The 19,370-nt window shown below is 42.4% G+C and overlaps 1 protein-coding gene and 1 long non-coding RNA gene across 8 annotated transcripts in view; one reads left to right on the top strand and one right to left on the bottom strand.

Annotated features, from left to right (window-relative positions):
* The window catches only part of SLC14A2 (solute carrier family 14 member 2), a 515,726-nt gene that overhangs the window by 180,400 nt on the left and 315,956 nt on the right, over positions 1-19,370 (bottom strand). The window lies entirely within an intron of this gene.
* Positions 1-19,370, top strand: part of SLC14A2-AS1 (SLC14A2 antisense RNA 1) — a 142,177-nt gene that overhangs the window by 3,775 nt on the left and 119,032 nt on the right. For 2 of the 3 annotated variants that reach the window (XR_007066350.1, XR_007066351.1), the window contains exons 2-5: positions 9,070-9,207; positions 11,163-11,249; positions 18,881-19,002; positions 19,094-19,162. This is a non-coding gene — a long non-coding RNA (SLC14A2 antisense RNA 1). Of the gene's footprint in view, positions 1-9,069; positions 9,208-11,162; positions 19,163-19,370 lie in introns of all 3 variants that reach the window. The other variant, XR_007066352.1, reaches the window with a different exon arrangement.

The following is a 19,370-nucleotide window of genomic DNA, read 5'->3' as shown; positions in this document are numbered from 1 at the left end:
ACCATAGCCTGTTCCCTAATCTCAAAGCCTGACTCTAAGTAAAAATCCCAGGGCTTAGACAAGGGCCCTAATATCCTAAAAACAAACACAACAATCAAAAATACTATCACTCCCCTGCAGCATCAATCTGACCTAAAAGAAGCATGCTTGCCACAATCAACATTAATTACACATTTAATTAACTCTCACTTTATTTCCTTCTTAGAATTCCAAGGGTCTCTGGGCAAGACTTTCCATGGACCACATCTCTGGAAAGAGCTGCCCATGGAACTTTAAAATGATGCCTTCTTCTTGTGATAAATTTCCCTGTTGCAAGCAGTAGAAGCATTACAAAAGAAAATATTTTATTGATCATTCCTTAAAAAAAAAAAACCAGAAATAGGACACATAGGACACATAGGTCCTTATCAGAATCTTGTGGTTTGGAAGAAGCACCACCTAGAAAATCCAGGATCCTGGGTCTGAATTCTGGGTCTGGTGCTGATTCATGATGCAACATTGAATGTGTCAGTTAACTTATTTATGTTTCAGTTCTCCTATCTACAAAGTGACTGTAAGGTAAACTTTATTACATTGACTAGATGCGCTGTCACAGAATGTTTCTTGGAGCATAATCTTACTATTCCCAGTGATTGCAGAGGTCCGGAGCTGTTCCTTTGCTTTATGAATGTTAAAGAATGAATTAGGGTACTTTTCAGCTTGATCACTCTAGCATCTCATGGTGCAATATTGTTGCCCATGTTTATGATATATGAGGATATAGTGACCCTTGTCCACAACACAAATCCTAGACATGGAACTGTTCCTATGGGAATAAGATGCATTTTATGGTCTTCCAGGTCTGTTGAGTCCAACCAAACACCTACAGCATGCCAGGTGATCTGCTAGGCTCTGGGTTACCGGGATGAGATGGCACAGACCCTGCCCTGGAGGAGCTTATGTTCTCATGGAGGCAGCTTAATCTCTAAACAATTAACTTTAGTTCAAGATGATATGTGAAACAATAGACTATCGAGAGTTTCTCAAAGATTTCCCCCCAAGAATCAACTGCATTGGAAACAACTAGTGAGTTTAACAACCCCACCCCTAATCTTCCCATATCTGTATCTCTCAGGGTGGAATTTGGGAATCTGCCTGTTTCACAAGTCTTCCAGCATCTTCTGCCCCACACTAAAGTCACTATGGGAAAAGTTAACTATGGGAACTCACAGACAGATGCCACGGAATCCTGCCTTTAGGGACCACTTATTTGAGTTCTATGCTCCTCTAAGCCCTGTGAAAAATCCAATAACATTTACTATAGAATCCATTACCTCTAGGAGCTTATACTTTTCTCAAGAGCCATAAAACCAGGATATCACATCCAAGGATAAGAGGAAGAAATCAGGGTTGGAGCTCATGTCCCATGATGTTCTTGCTCTAGCCAAGACTTGTGGGCTTCCTCCTTCATGAGTGATTTTTTCCCCAGAGCGGAAGTCACTTGCCCCACCATGGGAAGATGTAGCTCTGCCCAAGACTCTGGGACCACTCTGATCCGGGGAAAGTGTTGAGAAACCTTTCAGGAATCCCTTGTCACTTCCAGTCCTGCTCTGACTGGGTAATTCATTATCGGACCTTGACTGTGTTCTGGGTACTCTAAAGCTAACTTTATCCTTGCCCAGTGTCCCGGCAACTCTATGGCCCTTGCTCTTCTGCATCTTTGCCAGGGACATGTCCTTCACCTGCACCCTGTTCAACAGAGACAATGACACTTCTCTACATGGCAATGCAGCCTAATGCAGGTGGGAGACGAAGCATTTATACAAAAAGCATTGTGCTGGAACTACATAGCAACTTACACATTTTCCAGAGAGATAATATTATGTTCACTTTATTAATATGTTTTAAGGACTCAGTCCACAAAGCTGGTAAGTGGACGATTCAAGTCTCAGGTTGGTCCTGACTTACTCATAGTTTGTGGCCCTCATCATAATCACAGGTCCCTTATAAGGGGAGTGTTGATGGACAGGACATAAGCAGAGAGTCACTCTCTTTTCCTGGCTATCCTCACCTTTGGCGAGCCAGTTTGCCAGAGTCAAAATAGTCTGGCATTTGGAGGCTTCTCTGTTCATTATTCTCTGTGTGATCTTGGGCAAGTTATAGCCTTTTTGATCCTCAGGTTCTTTGCTGGTAAAACGGGACAATACACACATACTAGAGGTCACTGTTGAGTGAACTGAATGAAATAATATAGGTAATGTCCTTAGCTCAGTAATGTTAGCTTCTCTCCCGTTTCCTCTCTTCCTGCCCTTGTATGTGGAGCCCCAGACCCTTGTCTTTCCTCACCCCTGCAAAGGAGGTCCTTTTGAGAAATACTTCTTGCTATGTTATCTTATCTGACAGTGACCAGGCTTGTTCTCACAAGACAATAGCTGATCCCTTCCTTCTCATAGTGCTGTGAAAATCCCACCTCTTCCCGAAACCAGATAGAACCTGGTGAAAAGGTAGAGACGGATCCACTTTAACTTTGCTGGTCTGTTTGCATTTGCCCCTGACCTTTATATTCTGAGTCTTGGCTGGGTGCAGTGAAGTAAAGAAGGGGCTGGGAACAAGGAATGTGCAACAGTTCTGACCACCATGCTCTTTCTTGAGGAACTGGAAACCTGCTAGAGATTACTAACACACTCATGCGTCAGGATAAGGGCAGGATTTCTTTTTTTTTTTTTTTTTTTTGAGACGGAGTCTCGCTCTGTCGCCCAGGCTGGAGTGCAGTGGCGCGATCTCGGCTCACTGCAAGCTCCGCCTCCCGGGTTCACGCCATTCTCCTGCCTCAGCCTCCCGAGTAGCTGGGACTACAGGCGCCCGCTACCACGCCCCGCTAATTTTTTGTATTTTTAGTAGAGACGGGGTTTCACCGTGTTAGCCAGGATGGTCTCGATCTCCTGACCTCGTGATCCGCCCGCCTCGGCCTCCCAAAGTGCTGGGATTACAGGCGTGAGCCACCGCGCCCGGCCTAAGGGCAGGATTTCAAGTCAAGGATTTCAAGAAAGTATTTTATAGCAACCCAGCATGCCAGAGAGAAAGCAGCACTCCTTGGGGTGGGTTCCAATATAGGCCAAGTGATCAGGAGGAGTGATTATTTCTACAAAGGATAATCTTTCTTGTACACTGTATTCTTTCTCTCCATGCCCCCTTTTAAAAAACAATAAGTAGCCAATTATTACCAATTTATTTGCGGCTTCTTATAATTATATTATCCATGATTAACTCACTGGAGTCTAATTTGACTCTAGAGTTATTTTGTAGGAATGCTCTATCGTCAGGCATAGTGAGACTCTTGTCAGAGCAGGCTCACTCTGTTTGGCTCACAGAGTTCAATTAATGCACGTGGAGAGAGACAAAGAAGAGGATGAGAAATGGCAGGCGCCCTGGTCTTGCTGAGTTGCAAAGTCCCTCCACATTCATTATTTCATTTGATACTCAGACTAGCTCTATGAGGTAGCTAAGATACCTATGATCATCTCCAGTCTACAAACTGGGACATGGACCCAGGTCAAATCACAATGTGGTGCCCAAGATGGGATTAAAACCCAATGTTGACACCCTCCTGGCCCCTCTTCCCCAACACACTGCAGCTCCAAGGATATTGATCAATGATTTTGACAGTGATCATTTCTGTAATACTTAGAAGTTTGCAAAGTATTTCAAATTCCTGATCTTATTTAATCTTTACAACAATCCCGCAAGGCAAAGAAGAAATTATAATACCCATTTTTATAGAGGAGATAACTTTGGTTTAGAGAGGTGAATTGCCCAAGATCATACAGCCTTTAAGGTGTGAAAACTGGATGAGAATCCTGGGATCAGCCTCCTGATAAAATGTTTTATTCTATTATAGCACCTCTGAATGTCGAGCACTCACCAGAAATGTATGGTTTAAGTGTAGTGTGGATCAGCCACATGACATCATAGTTACATTTTGTAAAAACAGCTATTTTCTGTGACAGAGGCTCTTCTTAATTTAGGGACCTTTTGAGATAATGTTTACACATGTATATACATATGTGTGTATGTGAATATGTATCAATAAAATGACATTTTGGGGAGACTCTAACATTGCCATCAGAGTCTCAAAGGAGTGTGTGACCCCAAAACAACCAGTGAGTCTGGTGATTCTCGTCTCTTCTCCACCAGTGAAAAATGAAGGTGGTGGTGGTGGTGTTTGGGACTGGGAAGAAAATGAGAAGGCTTTAGAGAAGACCAAGGGGACAGAGTCATGCAGGCCAAATGAGGTGAAAGTTTTAAGGGGCTGGGTCCAAGTAATGGTTACAGTGACAAAACTGCAGAGGCTAAAGGCTTAAACAAGTTGACACATTCAGCAGTTAGAGAAGTTTCTGTGGAGCTGTGGGAACAGAAAGCTGACTGTGGGTGTTAAAGAAGGTGGAGAGTAGGAAGGAGAGACAGTGAGTGCAGAAACCTTTCTTTACAACCTGGCAATTAAGCAAAGTGGAGAGATGGAATGCCAGCTTGGAGGGGAAAGCAGGACCAAGGAAAGTTCTCTCTCTCTTTTTTTCTTTCCCTTAAAATGGGAGGAAGACTAATTGAAAGGGAGAGACCAGCTGAGGGAGAAGGAGCCTAATTAGGAGACAGGAGGAGATGAATCCTGAGCTGAGATGGAGGTTAACTTCAGAGCAGATCTGACAGTCTCCAGGAACAGGAGTGGAGATGGGAGGGAGAGGTGAAGATACAGAGGGAGTGTGAGCTTCTTGCATGATTCCTGCCAATTTCATCTACCGTAGAACTTATGGTGTTGCAGCAAACGGCAAGTGACACCATTCAACCAGGCTGCTTCCTGTCACCCTGGGCACAAAACTTCTTGGCTCTGGGCGTCTGGCAGCTTCTCGCTGCCCTTCCCTGTCTGTTTTGCATCCTTATTTCCCAGCTTCAGGCACTGACCCTGTCAGGTGCTTCTCCTTGAGCTCTCAGCCTCACAGAACTCTTCTGAGGGTGATTTCAGTAGTAAAATACAGAAATGTGTTCCCGGGAAGTATGTAGCTGGGAAATTGTTTTCTTTGTTGTTGATTTATTTGATTGCTAAATCTTTTTTAAAAACTTGCACTACACAATGTACAGATATATTGCATTATAGTTATGAAATAGATTATATTTGTCACTTTCTATTTTTAAAGTTTTTTTTTCTGGTCCTTGGACAGGAATGGACTTCCATGTTGTTTCTAAGGCATGAACAGAATCTTCCTCTTATTTTACTTTTAGTGGCTTTCCCAGAAACATAACCTCCTAAGTCTATGAAGGAAACATTTTCAATGAGATCTTGAAGCTTGTCTAAAGGCTTTCCCCTTGCTCTCCTCCTGCAGTTCTCCAGCTATTATATTTCTGATAGAAGGTATTCAGAAGGCATTCATAGGCAGAATCAGATTGCACGGACAGCTTCCTTAAGCTCCTGAGTCATTGGGCCATTTTCGCTGGGGACAGATCCGTCACCAAAAAATCCTCTCTGCTTGCCAAGCTAGTTAGTGACCACCCCATTCTACTTGTGAAACTGCCCCATGGCAGGATGTGGCATATTTGGGGCTTACTTTTGAATCCTCCCTTCTCAATGGGAACACCATGCCTACTGGTTGTTCTTTGTCTCTAATGTGCTCATTGTCAGCCCGCTGCTGCACTGTGGGTACCAGCAGGGCATACATCAAAGCTGGAAATGGATTTCGTTGGAAAGCTCAAAGCCAGGTGTCAACAGAGAGGCCTTGTCTGGCCACCCTTGAAAAACAAAACCTATTCTCTTGCCCCACTGCTCTCTGTTTCCCTTGCTTTGTTTTATTATTTTGCATAGGACATAGGGTGTATTGCCCTCTGCCTGAAAGATTGTATGTCTATCTCTTCAGTTGAATATGACCCCCACACAGGATAAGAAACGTTTTCTGTTTTGAACCTGTTGTATCCTCACTGGCCTAACACAGTGCCTGATGCCTGGAAGGGGATCAATACACGGTTGTTGAATTAACTGTTGAATGACTGTGGCTATCAGGTTCATGCTTGCAAGAGTCCAGGAAGCAGTAGGGTATAGTGAGGAAAGAGCCAAATTGGGAACCAAGAAATCCAGCAATCACTTTCTGCCTCTGTCATCAGCTAGTATGTGTGTGTGTATATATACACATATACACACTCCCATATATATGGGAGTTTATTAGAGAGAATGGGCTTCACACTATTACAAGGCAAAGTCCCACAATAGGCTGTCTGCAAGCTGGGGAAGAGAGAAGCTGGTAGTGGCTCAGTCTGAGTCAGAAAGCCTCAATCCAGGGAAACTGACAGTGCAGACTTCAGTCTGTGGCCAAAGGCCTGAGAGCCTCTGGCAAGCCACTAGTGCAAGTTCCAGAGTCCATAAGCCAAAGAACCTGGAGTCTAATGTCCAAGGGTGGAAGGAGCAGGAAGAAGTCTCCAGCATGGGAGAAAGAAGGCAGCCAGAAGGCCCAGCAAGCAGTTATCTCACCTTCCATTTTTTTTTGAGACGGAGTCTTGCTCTTGTTGCCTAGGCTGTAGTGCAGTGGTGCAATCTTGGCTCACTGCAACCTCTACCTCCTGGGTTCAAGCAGTTCTCCTGCCTCAGCCTCTGCAGTAGCTGGGTTTACAGGCACCTGCCACCATGCCTGGCTAATTTTTGCTAGAGATGGGGTTTTGTATTTTTGCTAGAGATGGGGTTTCACCATGTTTGCCAGGCTGGCCTCGAACTCCTGACCTCAAGTGCCTGCCTCAGCTTCCTAAAGTGTTGGGATTACAGGCGTGAGCCACTGCACCCAGCCAAGGTTATCCCACCTTCTTCTGCCTGCTTTGTTCTAGCTACCCTGGCAGCCAATTGGATGGTGCCCACCCACACTGACAGTGGGTCTTCCTCTCCCGGTCCACTGACTCAAATGTCAATCTCCTCTGGCAACATCCTCACAGACACACCAAGGAACAATATTTTACCAGCTATCCAGGCATCTTTCAGTCCAATCAAGTTGAAACCTAATATTAACCATCACACTTGGAAATGTTACTTCTCTGAATTTCACACTCTTTTGTATAATAAAGATGATACTTCTTTCATAGGAGGGTTGTGAGCACTGAATGAAATTAAGTATGTTAAGAATTGAGTTTGTTCACATTTGCCGCTACTATTAGGGATCAAGTTGCCCTTGGTAATGGGAATCATCTCTGCTCATTCTTCTTTCTCACTTCAACTGTCTGGTTTGAAAACAGATTATCACATTAATAGGCATGAAGCATTGGCCCCAGGAAACTGGTGTTGCCACACGGAGCTTCATGAGGCCTTTGCTCACATGAATTGCTAAAGTGCCTTTGGGTGGTCTTCAAACTTTCAGCAAGCAGGTCAGACCTGGGAGTTGGCGCTTGCCAAGGTGCTGGGATAGCAGCACTTGGTCTCATGACATAGGCGTTCCGTGTTCTTTCCACTCTTTTCTCTGTGCTCTGGGCTGCTACGTTGCAGATACTAATATTTTACCAGTTCAGCCCCAAATTTAACTGGCTTCTCTTAAGGGCCATTACATATTAAGTGACCTAAATCCCTCGAGAAATGGAGCCAAGTTATCAATAAGTATACCTTTCCCAGGGTGTCATAGAGAGGTCCAGGGAAGAAGGGGGCTAACATAGGCAATGACTTGCTTCAGTAAGAAGGCAAGAGGACACTGTCTCATAGAAATGTACATTGATATAATCCCAAGGTTGAAGCAAGACTCAGTCTTGGATTTAATCACCACTCCTCTGATCTGTCCTCAAGGCTTCAACCCCTCACCTTGCTTTGTAGGATCACCGGGTGGCTGGGTGGCATTTTGAGGTCTACAGTGCTGACTAGGGACCAGTCAAGTGAAGTTTATGCCCTAGAGTTTAATTTAAAATAGAAATATGCCACCAGGATCTTATAAACAATGCTTTGAGGCCCCGGCCATTGTATTTTGTTTGTTTCTTGTTTGATTTTGTTTTGTTTTTATTTCCTATTTTTCTACTTTGGACAAACTTTCTTCCTCCATCCACATGTCCAAGTTTTTTGTGGTTGTTATTATTGTTACTTTTATCCCTCCTTCCTCTGTCTGTCTTTTCTTTCTTCTCCTCCTGCATCCAAATTCACTCATGCATTTGCCAAGTATTGACCGAGAGGTAGGGACGAGAGAGAGAGTCAGACAGGATGCAGCGTATGCAGAGATCCACAATTTAGGGGAATCTAGGATCCAAGTGAGGAAATATGAAGCTGGGAGGAAAGCAGTGGCCAGACACTGAACAACCTGGCTTTCTATTTTATGAGTTTTGACTCTATCCCAAAGCTTATATTATGGAGATCCATTAAGAAAGGATGTGTGTGTGTGTGTGTGTGTGTGTATGTGTGTGTGTGTGATGACCCGATTCTGTTTTAAAAAGCTCTGGCTTCCTTAGACCAAGAACGGGCTGGAAGGTGCTGTCTCGAAACAAAGTGTAGACTAACAGAGGGGAGTGGACAGACTGAAGAGAGGTGAAGGAGATAGGAATAGCAGGGCATAGTGACTGTCTCAATGATGGTGTGGAGGGAGAAAGAGGAGTCAAAGATGACTACCAGGCCGGGCACAGTGGCTCACACCTGTAATCCCAGCGCTTTGGGAGACTGAGGCAGGCAGATCAACCTGAGGTCAGGAGTTTGAGACAAGCCTGGCCAACATGGTGAGACCCTGTCGCTATTTAAAAAAAAAAAATTTTTTTTCTGGGCATGGTGGCATGTGCCTGTGATCCCAGCTACTTGGGAGGCTGAGGCAGGAGAATCACTTGAACCCAGGAGGTGGAGGTTGCAGTGAGCCGAGATTGCAACACTGTACTCCAGCCTGGGTGACAGAGTGAGAAAAAAATAAAAGATGACTACCAAGTTTTGGCTTGATCACAAGGGTGGATGGTGTTGCTGATAACAGAGAAGAAGCGGCACTTCTTGTTTCTTGTCAGGGTTGATGATGAGTGACTATGGACATGATGAAGGATAGCCTGAGTTGAGGAAGGGACCATGAATGTACAGTAGGCACTAATTTGGGGAATTTGTGATTTCTCCTGTAGAATTCAACTGTCCAGATAGAAAGGTGGACATGGAAAAATTGGGCTTTGCAAATGGTCACCCAATTCTTGCCTTCCTGGTCTCCAGATCACCCTTCCTATACCGCCACTCTGGAGAAAGAAGTACAGAACGCTAACAAGGTACAACCACTTTCTACCCTGCCAGGACTTGACTTAAAAGATGACTATGCACAGAACATTGTCCAAGATGCTTGCCTTTCCTCTTTGCAGACATGATTTGGCAGGAATGTAGTCTTCCATTTAGGTGATTAAGGATGTGGCTTGATGTTTCTATTTAGCCTTTATGCAGTGGCCTTTGTGAGCCAAGTCAAATCTCACCAAAGTTTCAAGTGAAAAGCAGTTGTTCCTTACCCACTGAATTCAAATATTTTATCAAAAGTGTTCATTAAATGCCTAATGTATGCAGTGAAAAAATAAATATGAGTCACAGAACAACACTTAAAGAAACATGTCCAGAATCCATAACTAAAAAACTAGTATAAAGCAAATCATAGAAGGTAATTTTGGCCTAGGAGTTAGAGGACTAGAATTATTCCAGCCATGTGGCTAAAATGCTTATTGAATAGTGATTTCTGGCACAGTCTCTCGAGTCAGAGTGCCTCGTTCAAATCCTGGCTCTTTCCTTGACTACCTATGCAACTTTGGATTATCACAAAGTAATTAATATACATAAAACACTCACACCAGTATTTCACACAGTGGGTTAGTATTAGATAATGCTGTTGTTATTATAGGTGTTGCTATTATGAGCTATATACCATGAACAATTGAATTCTATCTTTGGGCAGCAATGTCTTTATTCATAAAATGAGGGCAAGATATTATCTTTTCTAACTATGTTCTGAAGTGACTTGGGGCTCCTCTGCCCCATCCCATTCTACATTTTATTCATTTTATCCATCATGTTGGGGTTTCACATATGTTTTTACTTGCAGAAAGGGCTCTGAAAAACAAGTTGCAAATCATTAGGCCAGATGGTGTAAGGTCTGTCTTCAACAAAAGTTTTGATTCTCTGAGTGAAAGACATGCTCTTGACAATGGACAGTGGGATGAAGTGGTCTCAGAGGAGGTGGCCATATACCAGGGGGAGCTTCTTGGAAGAAGTGAGTTGGAAAGTTAAAATCTGGGTGTTTCTAGCAGTTGGTGAACCTGGAAGAGAAGTTGTAATTCCCAAAGAGAGGTGAGTGTGGAACATAGATATAGAACCAAAACTATGCAGGGCGAAAAAGTTTCAAAGACCCAAATCCCTGCAGTAAGGGAAAGAGAGCGAGTAGACAAGGGCTTCAAGATAATTGTCTCAAGTTGAAGTTTGACTAAAGTTTGAAGCAATGAACAAGGTGAGAAAAGATGATTGGCTCTATTGAGGAAAGCAGCACCTCATCTATCCTCTTTTTTGCATGGACAGGAAAGCAATGTTCAGAGGAAGAAAGCCCTTGTCTGTGGGCACAGAATTAGTCACCAACTCTGGTAGCCATTATTAGCTGCGAACCAGCTAGCCATTCCCCCTTTTTCCTTAGCAATAGTAATCCCAACTTTTTAGCTAGGCACATTGCTGATTGAATTAAAGAAAACATTTCTGATATGGCTTGGCTCTGTGACCCACCCAAATCTAATCCTGAACTGTAATCACTACATGTGGACTGAGGGAAGTGATTGGATTATGGGGGCAGTTTCTTCCATGCTGTTTTCGTGATAGTGAATTCTCATGAGATCTGATGGTTTTATAAATGGTAGTTTTCCCTGCACTTACACACACTCTCTCTCACTTGCTGCCATGTACAGCATACCTGCTTCCCCTTCCACCATGATTGTAAGTTTCCTGAGGTCTCACCCGCCGTGCAGAACTGTGAGTCAATTAAACCTCCTTTGTTTATAAACTACGCAGTCTCAAGTATGTCTTTATAGAAGTGTGAAAACAAACTAATACAATTTCCTAGCCTCCCTTGGCATTAGGGATGATCCAAAAATGTCCATGCAAGTTAAGGGCCTCCAGGAAAGAAGTTTTAGAGAGGTACAGTCAGCCAATAGGGACCATTTTGCCCTCCCCATCTTCACTTCTTCTTGTGTCTTACCAGGATGGCTTGGAGTTGCAGTGGTCACCTCAGATCTTAAGGTCACTTTGGAGATGGAACCCCTGTGACTAGGAATGGCAGAACAGAAAGGTAGAAAGAGATTGAGTCCTGGGGATGTGGCAGAGCCACCATCCTAGCCCCGTACTGCGTACTTCTGGACTTCCTTTAAATTGAGAGAAACATGTTCCTACCATATTTAACCATTTGGTGTTCTAAACCCCATTCCTAGCTCTGGAATGCCCTGGCAGAGCTGGTGCTGGCTGGGACCCCAGTGGTCCTTGGTGACCTTGCTCAGCAGTGCTCTTTCCACAAATGACCCCACTACTATCATGTGCAGAACTATCTTGGTGTGTGTGTGTGCATGAGCAGACATCCACAGCCAAGTAATTTTCAAAGCTGTCAGCTCTGCTCTCCTGTAGCCTCCTGCTCCCCACTGCCTTCTCATTTCCACCAGAGGAAGGTGAGGCTGCTGGTGAGGAGCTTTTTCCTTTTCCCTTTTCTGAATTGTTTACTATATTAAACACTCAATATCCACTGCCCAGAATATTATTATGCTAATATTTCTCTGATTTATTTTTACTTTTATTTGTAATTAAAGAAATAAAACACTATAGGTACTATCGCACCCTTTTTATCCTTTCTGTGAGCCTATTCTACTCCTTCTTCCAAAAAGGCATTCTCTTGAACTTGCATGCATTCTGTGTTTTTATGCTTCTATTATGCATATGTCTGAATCCATACGTGATTGATAACATTGTTTTATATGTTTTAAATATGTGTGTAAATGGTATATTAATGTGGTTTGATTTTTTACACAGACCTTGGATTTTTTCAAGATCATCCTTCTTGATGCCTGCATCTAGCTCACGGGAACTCACTGCTGTGCCTGTACAGTGTTTTCCCATTGCTCTATTGATGAACATTTAAATTGTTTTCCAATTTTCAATATTGTAAATAATGCAATAATAAACATCCTCTTACCTGTCCTATTACACACCGGAGTAAGAGTTTTTCTAGGGATTATATTTAGACATAAAACTAGTTGTCATAGGGTATGTATATCCTTACTTTTACAAGGTATTTCTAAATTGCCCTCTAAAGAGATAAAAACAATTTGGACTTCCTCTAGGATGGCAGTGCCCATTTCCCATAAAAACTTGGCATTGCTGAACCTTTCAATTTTTGACAGTTGAATAGGTGTGAAATGCTATCTATTTGCTTTTTAATGGGCATTTCCCTGATTATCAGTGAGGTAGGCCATCTTTTCATATTTTTATAGGCCATTTTGATTTCCATTTCTGTGAACTGCCTGCTTTAATATTTTGTTTTTCTGTTGGGCTGTTTGTCTTTTACTTATTGTTGTCCCCATCTGACTCCCTATCCCATATACACACATTTTTGGAGATTAACCCTTTTTAGGTCACATGCATTGCAAACTTCTCCTCCAAATCTCTCACCTGTCTTTTAGCTTTGTTTATGGTGACTTTGTTCCTACAAGACTATAAACTTGGTCTTAAATTTTAACATAGTCAAATTTATTGATCTTTTTCATTACTTTTGTGTTCTTAAAATTTTTTCTTAATCAGATATTATTAAACTATCTTCCTGAATATTCTTTGAATAGTTTAAAAGATAATTTTTTACTTTAACTTTTAATCCATCTGGAATTTATTTGCAATATTTTGTGTTATTTTGCATATGAAATTGAGCTCTAATGTTAATTTTCCAATATGAAGAGCCAATTTCTGTGACACTATGTATCAAACAGTCTATTCCTTCCCCACTTAGTTGTAATCACCCCATCATGTACCAGTTTTCCAAAATGCCTGGGTCTCTTTCTAGACTTTCTAGTTTATTCCACTGGTCTCTCTATCCCTATACTTCTCTTGCACAATTTTTTTCCTGTGCTTTGATGTCTACAGTGTAAATTCATCTTCTTCATAGTCAGTCTTTTTCAAATTTCTTTGGACTGTTCTTGGCCCTTTGGCTTTCAAATGAATTTTGATTAATCTTTTAATAAAATGCTTCCCTCCTACCTCATTCGACACATACTTCTCTCCCATCTCATTCCTATTCTGAAGGCTACTGCCCTCAAAGATCTAGTTTCCAGCCTTGAATCTGCCACCAAATGCCCGTCTATTCTTGTGCAAGTCCCCTAATCTCTCTGGGTTTCAGTTTCCTCACCTGTCAGGTCTGCTTTGCCTATATCACAGGATTGCTGAGCTGATGAAATGAGATAAAGATGAGAGATGCTTTGAACAGTTCAAAACACCAAGTTAAAGAGTTAAAAACAATAATCTCTATGTGATCTGAGACAAAATGTGAAATTCAGATTATTTCTCCCCCAGTTTTTTCTACACTTTGTGACACTCCTTTCTGTCAAACTTCCAGTGTTTTGCATCTTCCAGTGAGATGCGAAGGTCTTCTGTTCAGGGTAGAATTATTATGTTGATGGGCTGGGGACAGCTGGGATTTATATGCCCTGGGTCCCATTTTGGATTCTCTCTTTGTGACTTAATGTAAGGCACTTAAACTCTTTGAATCTCAATTTCTTCACCTTTAAGAAGAATATTAAAAATTCTCTCCCCCAAGTAGTATTGTGTTTTTGTTTTTGTTTTTGAGACAGAGTCTTGCTCTGTTGACCAGGCGGGAGTGCAGTGGTACGATCTCGGCTCACTGCAATGTCTGTCTCCTGGATTCAAGCAATTCTCATGCCTCGGCCTCCCAAGTAGCTGAGACCACAGGAGCACACCACCACACCTAGATAGTTTTTGTATTTTTAGTAGAGACAGGTTTTCCCTATGTTGGCCAGGCTGGTCTTGAACTCCTCACCTCAAATGATCTGCTGGCCTCAGCCTCTCAAAGTGCTGGGATTATAAGTAGCATTGTGAAATTCAAGAGATTTAGTATAGGTTAACTGTTACATAAAATGTGAAGCCCTATAAGAATCATGAGCCATTATTATGAATGTTCTTGCTGACATATGCATGCAGAAAGGACTTACAGAAAGGCAATGATGTTTCTCACCACTTGAATCGAACCATGTAGGATAATCAAAACCATTTTTGTCTACAAGTATGGTTGGCCCAGTGCAATGTCTTCACAGTCTTCTAGAAGATGCAGGAAATCTTTTTCAAAAATAATATGTCCTTTAGGCTTTGCAGCCTGGATGTGTGGAAAAGTGGAGGTAGCTGGGGAGTTCGTCTTGTCCATCTGGACAAACAGGAAGAACTATCCTTATGCAGTGCTGGCTCACCACTGACCCGAGGGAGTGAGAACGTGGGGACTAAAGGGTGGGAACAAATCAGTCTTTGTACCTTCCTTGCTGAGTGTGGATACCATTCAGTTAGATTGAACATTGAGGTCAGCCCTGATGTAATGTGAGAGCACTTCCCCTGGAGTGAGCAGATGGTTTTGCCTTCCCAGCCCCTTAAATGTTTTTAACCCTTGCTACTCAGGTGACCAGAGCATCTTCATTTCCTGCACCAGGATCAGACTTGGGCTTGAGCCAATGACATTCATGGGCCAGATGACCCAAAGCTGTAGTCCACCTGCTTACTGTAACACAGAATGCCCTTTTCCCCACTAAGTTCTTACCCTTTCCTCAGTTCTGTTGAAATAAGATTTCTGACCTGTTCTTTAGCCACTTCCATGGCTGACCATGAACTCTACTCTTTTGACCACCAGTACCTGCTGAAAGTTGCTGGAATCCTTCTAAGCCAATATCAGGACTACCTGTCCTGCCCTGCCCTGCCCTCAGCCTCTGCCAATGCCACTTCTTTGCTGTTGTTTGGGCAGAACCCTGGATTTGGATGTTGGTTTGGATCTTAGTCCCCAGAACTTACAATCTGCTTGTTTTTTTCCTCTGGGGTCCACACCATATCCAACCCAATCTCATCATTCTGCCATGCTCACGTTATCCCTGCCTGCTCTTGCTCTCATGTTCATACATCCTCAAAGAGTCCACTCTCCTTCAAGGCCATACCTCATTTCTCCTTACACTATAGATGAAACACATGACTATTTTCCTTCTGATTCCTAAGTTCTGAGTCTAGGACCACTTTGTAATCAGGTTTAATTCCAGACCACAGCTGACCTTTTATTTTTTTCACATGTAAAAGTGAAGCTTAGGTACAGGTATTCTAGAAGTAGCTGTGATTATTTGCTTAAATCATCTTTCATGAATGAAGGACATATTACCCTAGCTATTGGGAGTTGACCTCGGAGAAGAAAGCTGACTTAGTTACACCAGCAATTCTCCCCAACACACATACACAGGGCAGCCCGTATCCTGTGACTGCTTGATGTGGTCATAGCAATCAGAGAAAGAGTTTAAAGTCTCAGCCCCTCTTGATAACTCTGAGAGGCCATCCCATTTTAGGTATCCCCAAGGGGTCAGCTGGACCTTGTGATGAGCCCAAAGTCCAGCTCCTCCCTCTGCCTATTCTGCCTCTTTTAATTCCACTCCTCTGCAGTGGCTGATCCCGAAAGCCCTCTTACTTCCAACACACACACCTTCATCTCAGAGTTTGATGCTTGGGGACCCCAACCTGCAACAGGTATCCACAACTATTTCCTTGCTCAACCAACCAACTCTCTACTGACTCACCATCTTTCCTCCCCATGGTAGGCAGAATAATGCCCATCTCTACTCAAAGATGCCTGTGCCCTAATCCCCAGGAACTTGCGAATGTGTTGCCTTATATGTCAAGAGGGACTTTGCGGATGTAATTAAAAGTCATTGAACTCAAGATAGGGAGATTATTCTGCATCATTCAGGTGGATCCAGCCTAATCATATGAGCCCTTAAAAGTGGAAAACCTTTCTTGGCTGTGGCCAGAGATGGACTACAGAAGAATGGTCAGGGAGATGCAATGTTGCTGCCTTTGAAGATGGAGGAAGGAGCCATCAGCCAAGGAATGCAGGCAACCTCTAGAAGCTGGAAAGGGCAAGGAAATAGATTCTTTTCAGAGTCTCCAGAAAGGAGCCCAGCACTGCTGGTACCTTGATTTTAGTCCAGTGTGACCCTTGTCAGACCTCTGACCTACAGAACTGTATGTAAAACAATGAATTTGTGTTGCTTTAAGCCACTAAAGTTTGCAATAATTAATTATAGCAGCAATGGGAAACTGATACAGTCCCTTAGGAGTCATCTTAATACTTGCTCTTTTGCATGATCTTGGACATGCCCTTCACTGGTCTGAGCCTTAATTTTCTCACCTGTAAAACGACAATTTTAGACTACATGCTCCAAAGCCTTTTTCAACCTGACATTTTTTCATTCTAACTATATGGATTACCTACTTTGCAACATTTATCTTTTTATTCTAGCAAGGCAGAGTTTACTTGTCTTTTTGATGATTATTCTGGGAAAACCTATTTGAGATGCTGCAGGAAGCAACAGAATGGCCATACAACAGGATGAGGAGTGAGATACTCTTTTTCTTTGTCTAACTCTTCTGGTCTGTCTTTATGTTGATTTCTAAATTTTCTATTCTGTAACTCCTTATGGCCATGGGAAAAATGCTTCTCAGCTGGTGACCAATTTATTAAACAAAGCTAGATGGCTAATAGATTTTGTCATTTTGCTTTTTGCTAGTGGACCTGCAAATACATTTTTATTTTTTGGTTATGCTGAAAATAATTTGTGAAAAATGGTAGTTACCATGCTTTTAAGTGGGATCAAAGGTAGCAGTGTTCTGACTGCTGGTTAAAGTTAACTCAGCCTCTAGGAAAATCCACCACTTTTCAGATTAAAAAAAAAAAAGTCCCTAGCCTGAATTTTGTCAGGAGAATGTATAATAAAATGCCACTGTAATTAAAATACTTATAAACCCGCAAGACACAGCTGTTGTGAAAGGAAAACAGGATGCTAAAATGGGATAAAAGGAGACCCTTGTCTGGCTCCTTTGCCCTCCCAGTGGGTATCTAATACAGTTGCCATTAACTGCTCTGTGTTAAGAAAAGCTGAGCTGACCCCAAAACAATAATGGCAGTAGCAGAATTCTAATGATGACTTTCTTCCACACTTATCTAGATGGTATGCTTTTCAAAGCACTTTCTGTCTACTCACTGATTTGAGCCTCAAGTTCTCAGTATTTCCCTAAGAAAGTAGGGGAAGTAGAGAGGGTGAACATCATCCACTTGATTTGACAGATGAGAAAAACATGGCTTCCTTGGAGTCTAAATTAAACTTGTGTCATCACAGCAGCCAACAGCAGGTCTGGGGCCGGGGGCTGGTCTCCGTGTTGAGGTCTAGGTTGACTATAGCTCATTGCTCCTGGCAGTTGGAGTCACCCAACACAGGGTCAAACACAGTCTCCAAAGACTTTACACTGCAAACCTAGAGCCACTGTAACAGTTCTTTTTGCACTCAGTAACAAAAAAAAAAGTCACTGGAAAATTATTCACTAAAGTTAGCTAGGAAAAGACCAAAGAGTTGAAGGGAAGAAAAAACTATAAGAAACCAAGAAGTGGATTTCAGACTGTCACCTGCCTACTAGGGTTTGTGATGCTGGCCACACAGTGTTGTTTCCAAACATACCAAACTGGAGGGCACCCATTTTCTTCCCTCTTGGGGCCCCACTCACATTCCTTGGAGAAATTTCCAAGAACCCTCTACATTATGGCCTCTATAAACTGAAATCACCAACATTAATACTATTTGCTCCTCCTCACCAACCCAGGTGCAATTAGGCTGACCAGCCTTGAAAAAAGTAAGATGACCTGAGGTCAGTAGCATGTAGTGGAATAAAAAAGAATAATTTTCCTAGATATCCCAACTCATTTGAACAATGAGGAATTGAGACTAAGTCTCTTCAAAGATTCCATTTATTTTGGTAAGATGCCATTTTACATTTAGTGTAGTAATACAATTTTGACTTAAAAGGCCAGGGTTTGAGAACCAAGTGGCCAGTTTGACTGGGCTATCATGTGATCATCATGGTCATTATCCCTTGGTCTCCTTGAGGGTCAGTTCTTTCATCTATAAAATAGATATGATCATAGCGAATCTCCTTTTCACTATACAAGGTTGTCATGAGAATCAAATAAATAAATGCTAAAGCACTACACAAGAGATGTTATGATTTTATCTTTGGCAGTAGTGCTAATCATTATAATAGCAGCCTATTAATAACAATGATATTACAAGAAACAGCAATTGTGGTAGTGTTGGTAAGGTACTTCTGGAATTATTTATATATGTGGCTACTTGCTGGAAAAGCCACCCATGTGTTGAGATAATGTGTATTGTGCTCTTTCTTGAATTATCTCCTTGGGACTTTACAACCCTAAGAGGTATATCTTATTACTGTCATTACACACACGCACACTCAAAAAAAGAAAAACCAACCAACCAGTCAACAAACAAAAAGCTAAAGCAGAGAGAGAGAGAGAGACAGTGAGTTAGTTTGAAAGCTAGTATCTTGAAACCCCAGTGAGTTCTGCTGACTTCCAGCACTGGCAGGCACACCTACCACTTCCAGTGGAGAACAACCTTGAAACCTAGAATCTTTAGGACCTTGTTGCCAGTGGCTTATTGCCTTAACCATGAGAAGGGGATATAGCTGGCATTAGAAGTTCCTCCATATAGGGAAGAACAATTGACCATTCAAAGAGTCATTGATAAGTTAACTAATCCCTGCTCTGTGAGATATATATGAATGCCAGTAAAAGTTTCCTCAGCAAGAAGGTTCTAATGCTATGATCTTTCCTGACAGCACTCACAGTGTGTGCTACCCTTCTGCATGGTGGAATTGTGGGGAAGTAACTACTAGCCAGAGACTACCTCAAGGCCTCTTTCATCAAGGAGAGGCCCATATGATTAGTTTTCACCAGTGAGGTATGAATGAAAGTGATGTGTGCCAATTTTAGGCCAAGTTGGGTAGGAAGTGGGGGTGTCATCTTCATTTTCTCCTTCCCAATCAACCCAGCTAGATACAGAGGACCTAACATACAACTCAGAGTCCCTAGAAGATGGAGAAAACACAGACAATTGGCAGGTGGGTTTCTGAACCATTATTTGGACAAAAACTCTTTTGGCTATTATATGAGTGAAATGTGATCCATTTTATTAAGCCATCAAAGTTTGAATGTTATCTGTTACAACAGCTATTCTATTATAGATCCCAATGAAAAGAGATCCACCAGTATTTCAGACCTAATCCTAATCCTCTGCCATCTTTGAGGCTATTACCCTCCTCCCCCACT

This window comes from Homo sapiens, chromosome 18 (genome assembly GCF_000001405.40).
Source record: "Homo sapiens chromosome 18, GRCh38.p14 Primary Assembly".
Classification (NCBI taxonomy): Eukaryota; Metazoa; Chordata; class Mammalia; order Primates; family Hominidae; genus Homo; species Homo sapiens.
The sequence above is the reverse complement of the archived record's forward strand: the minus strand, read 5'-3'. Positions and strand labels throughout refer to the sequence as shown.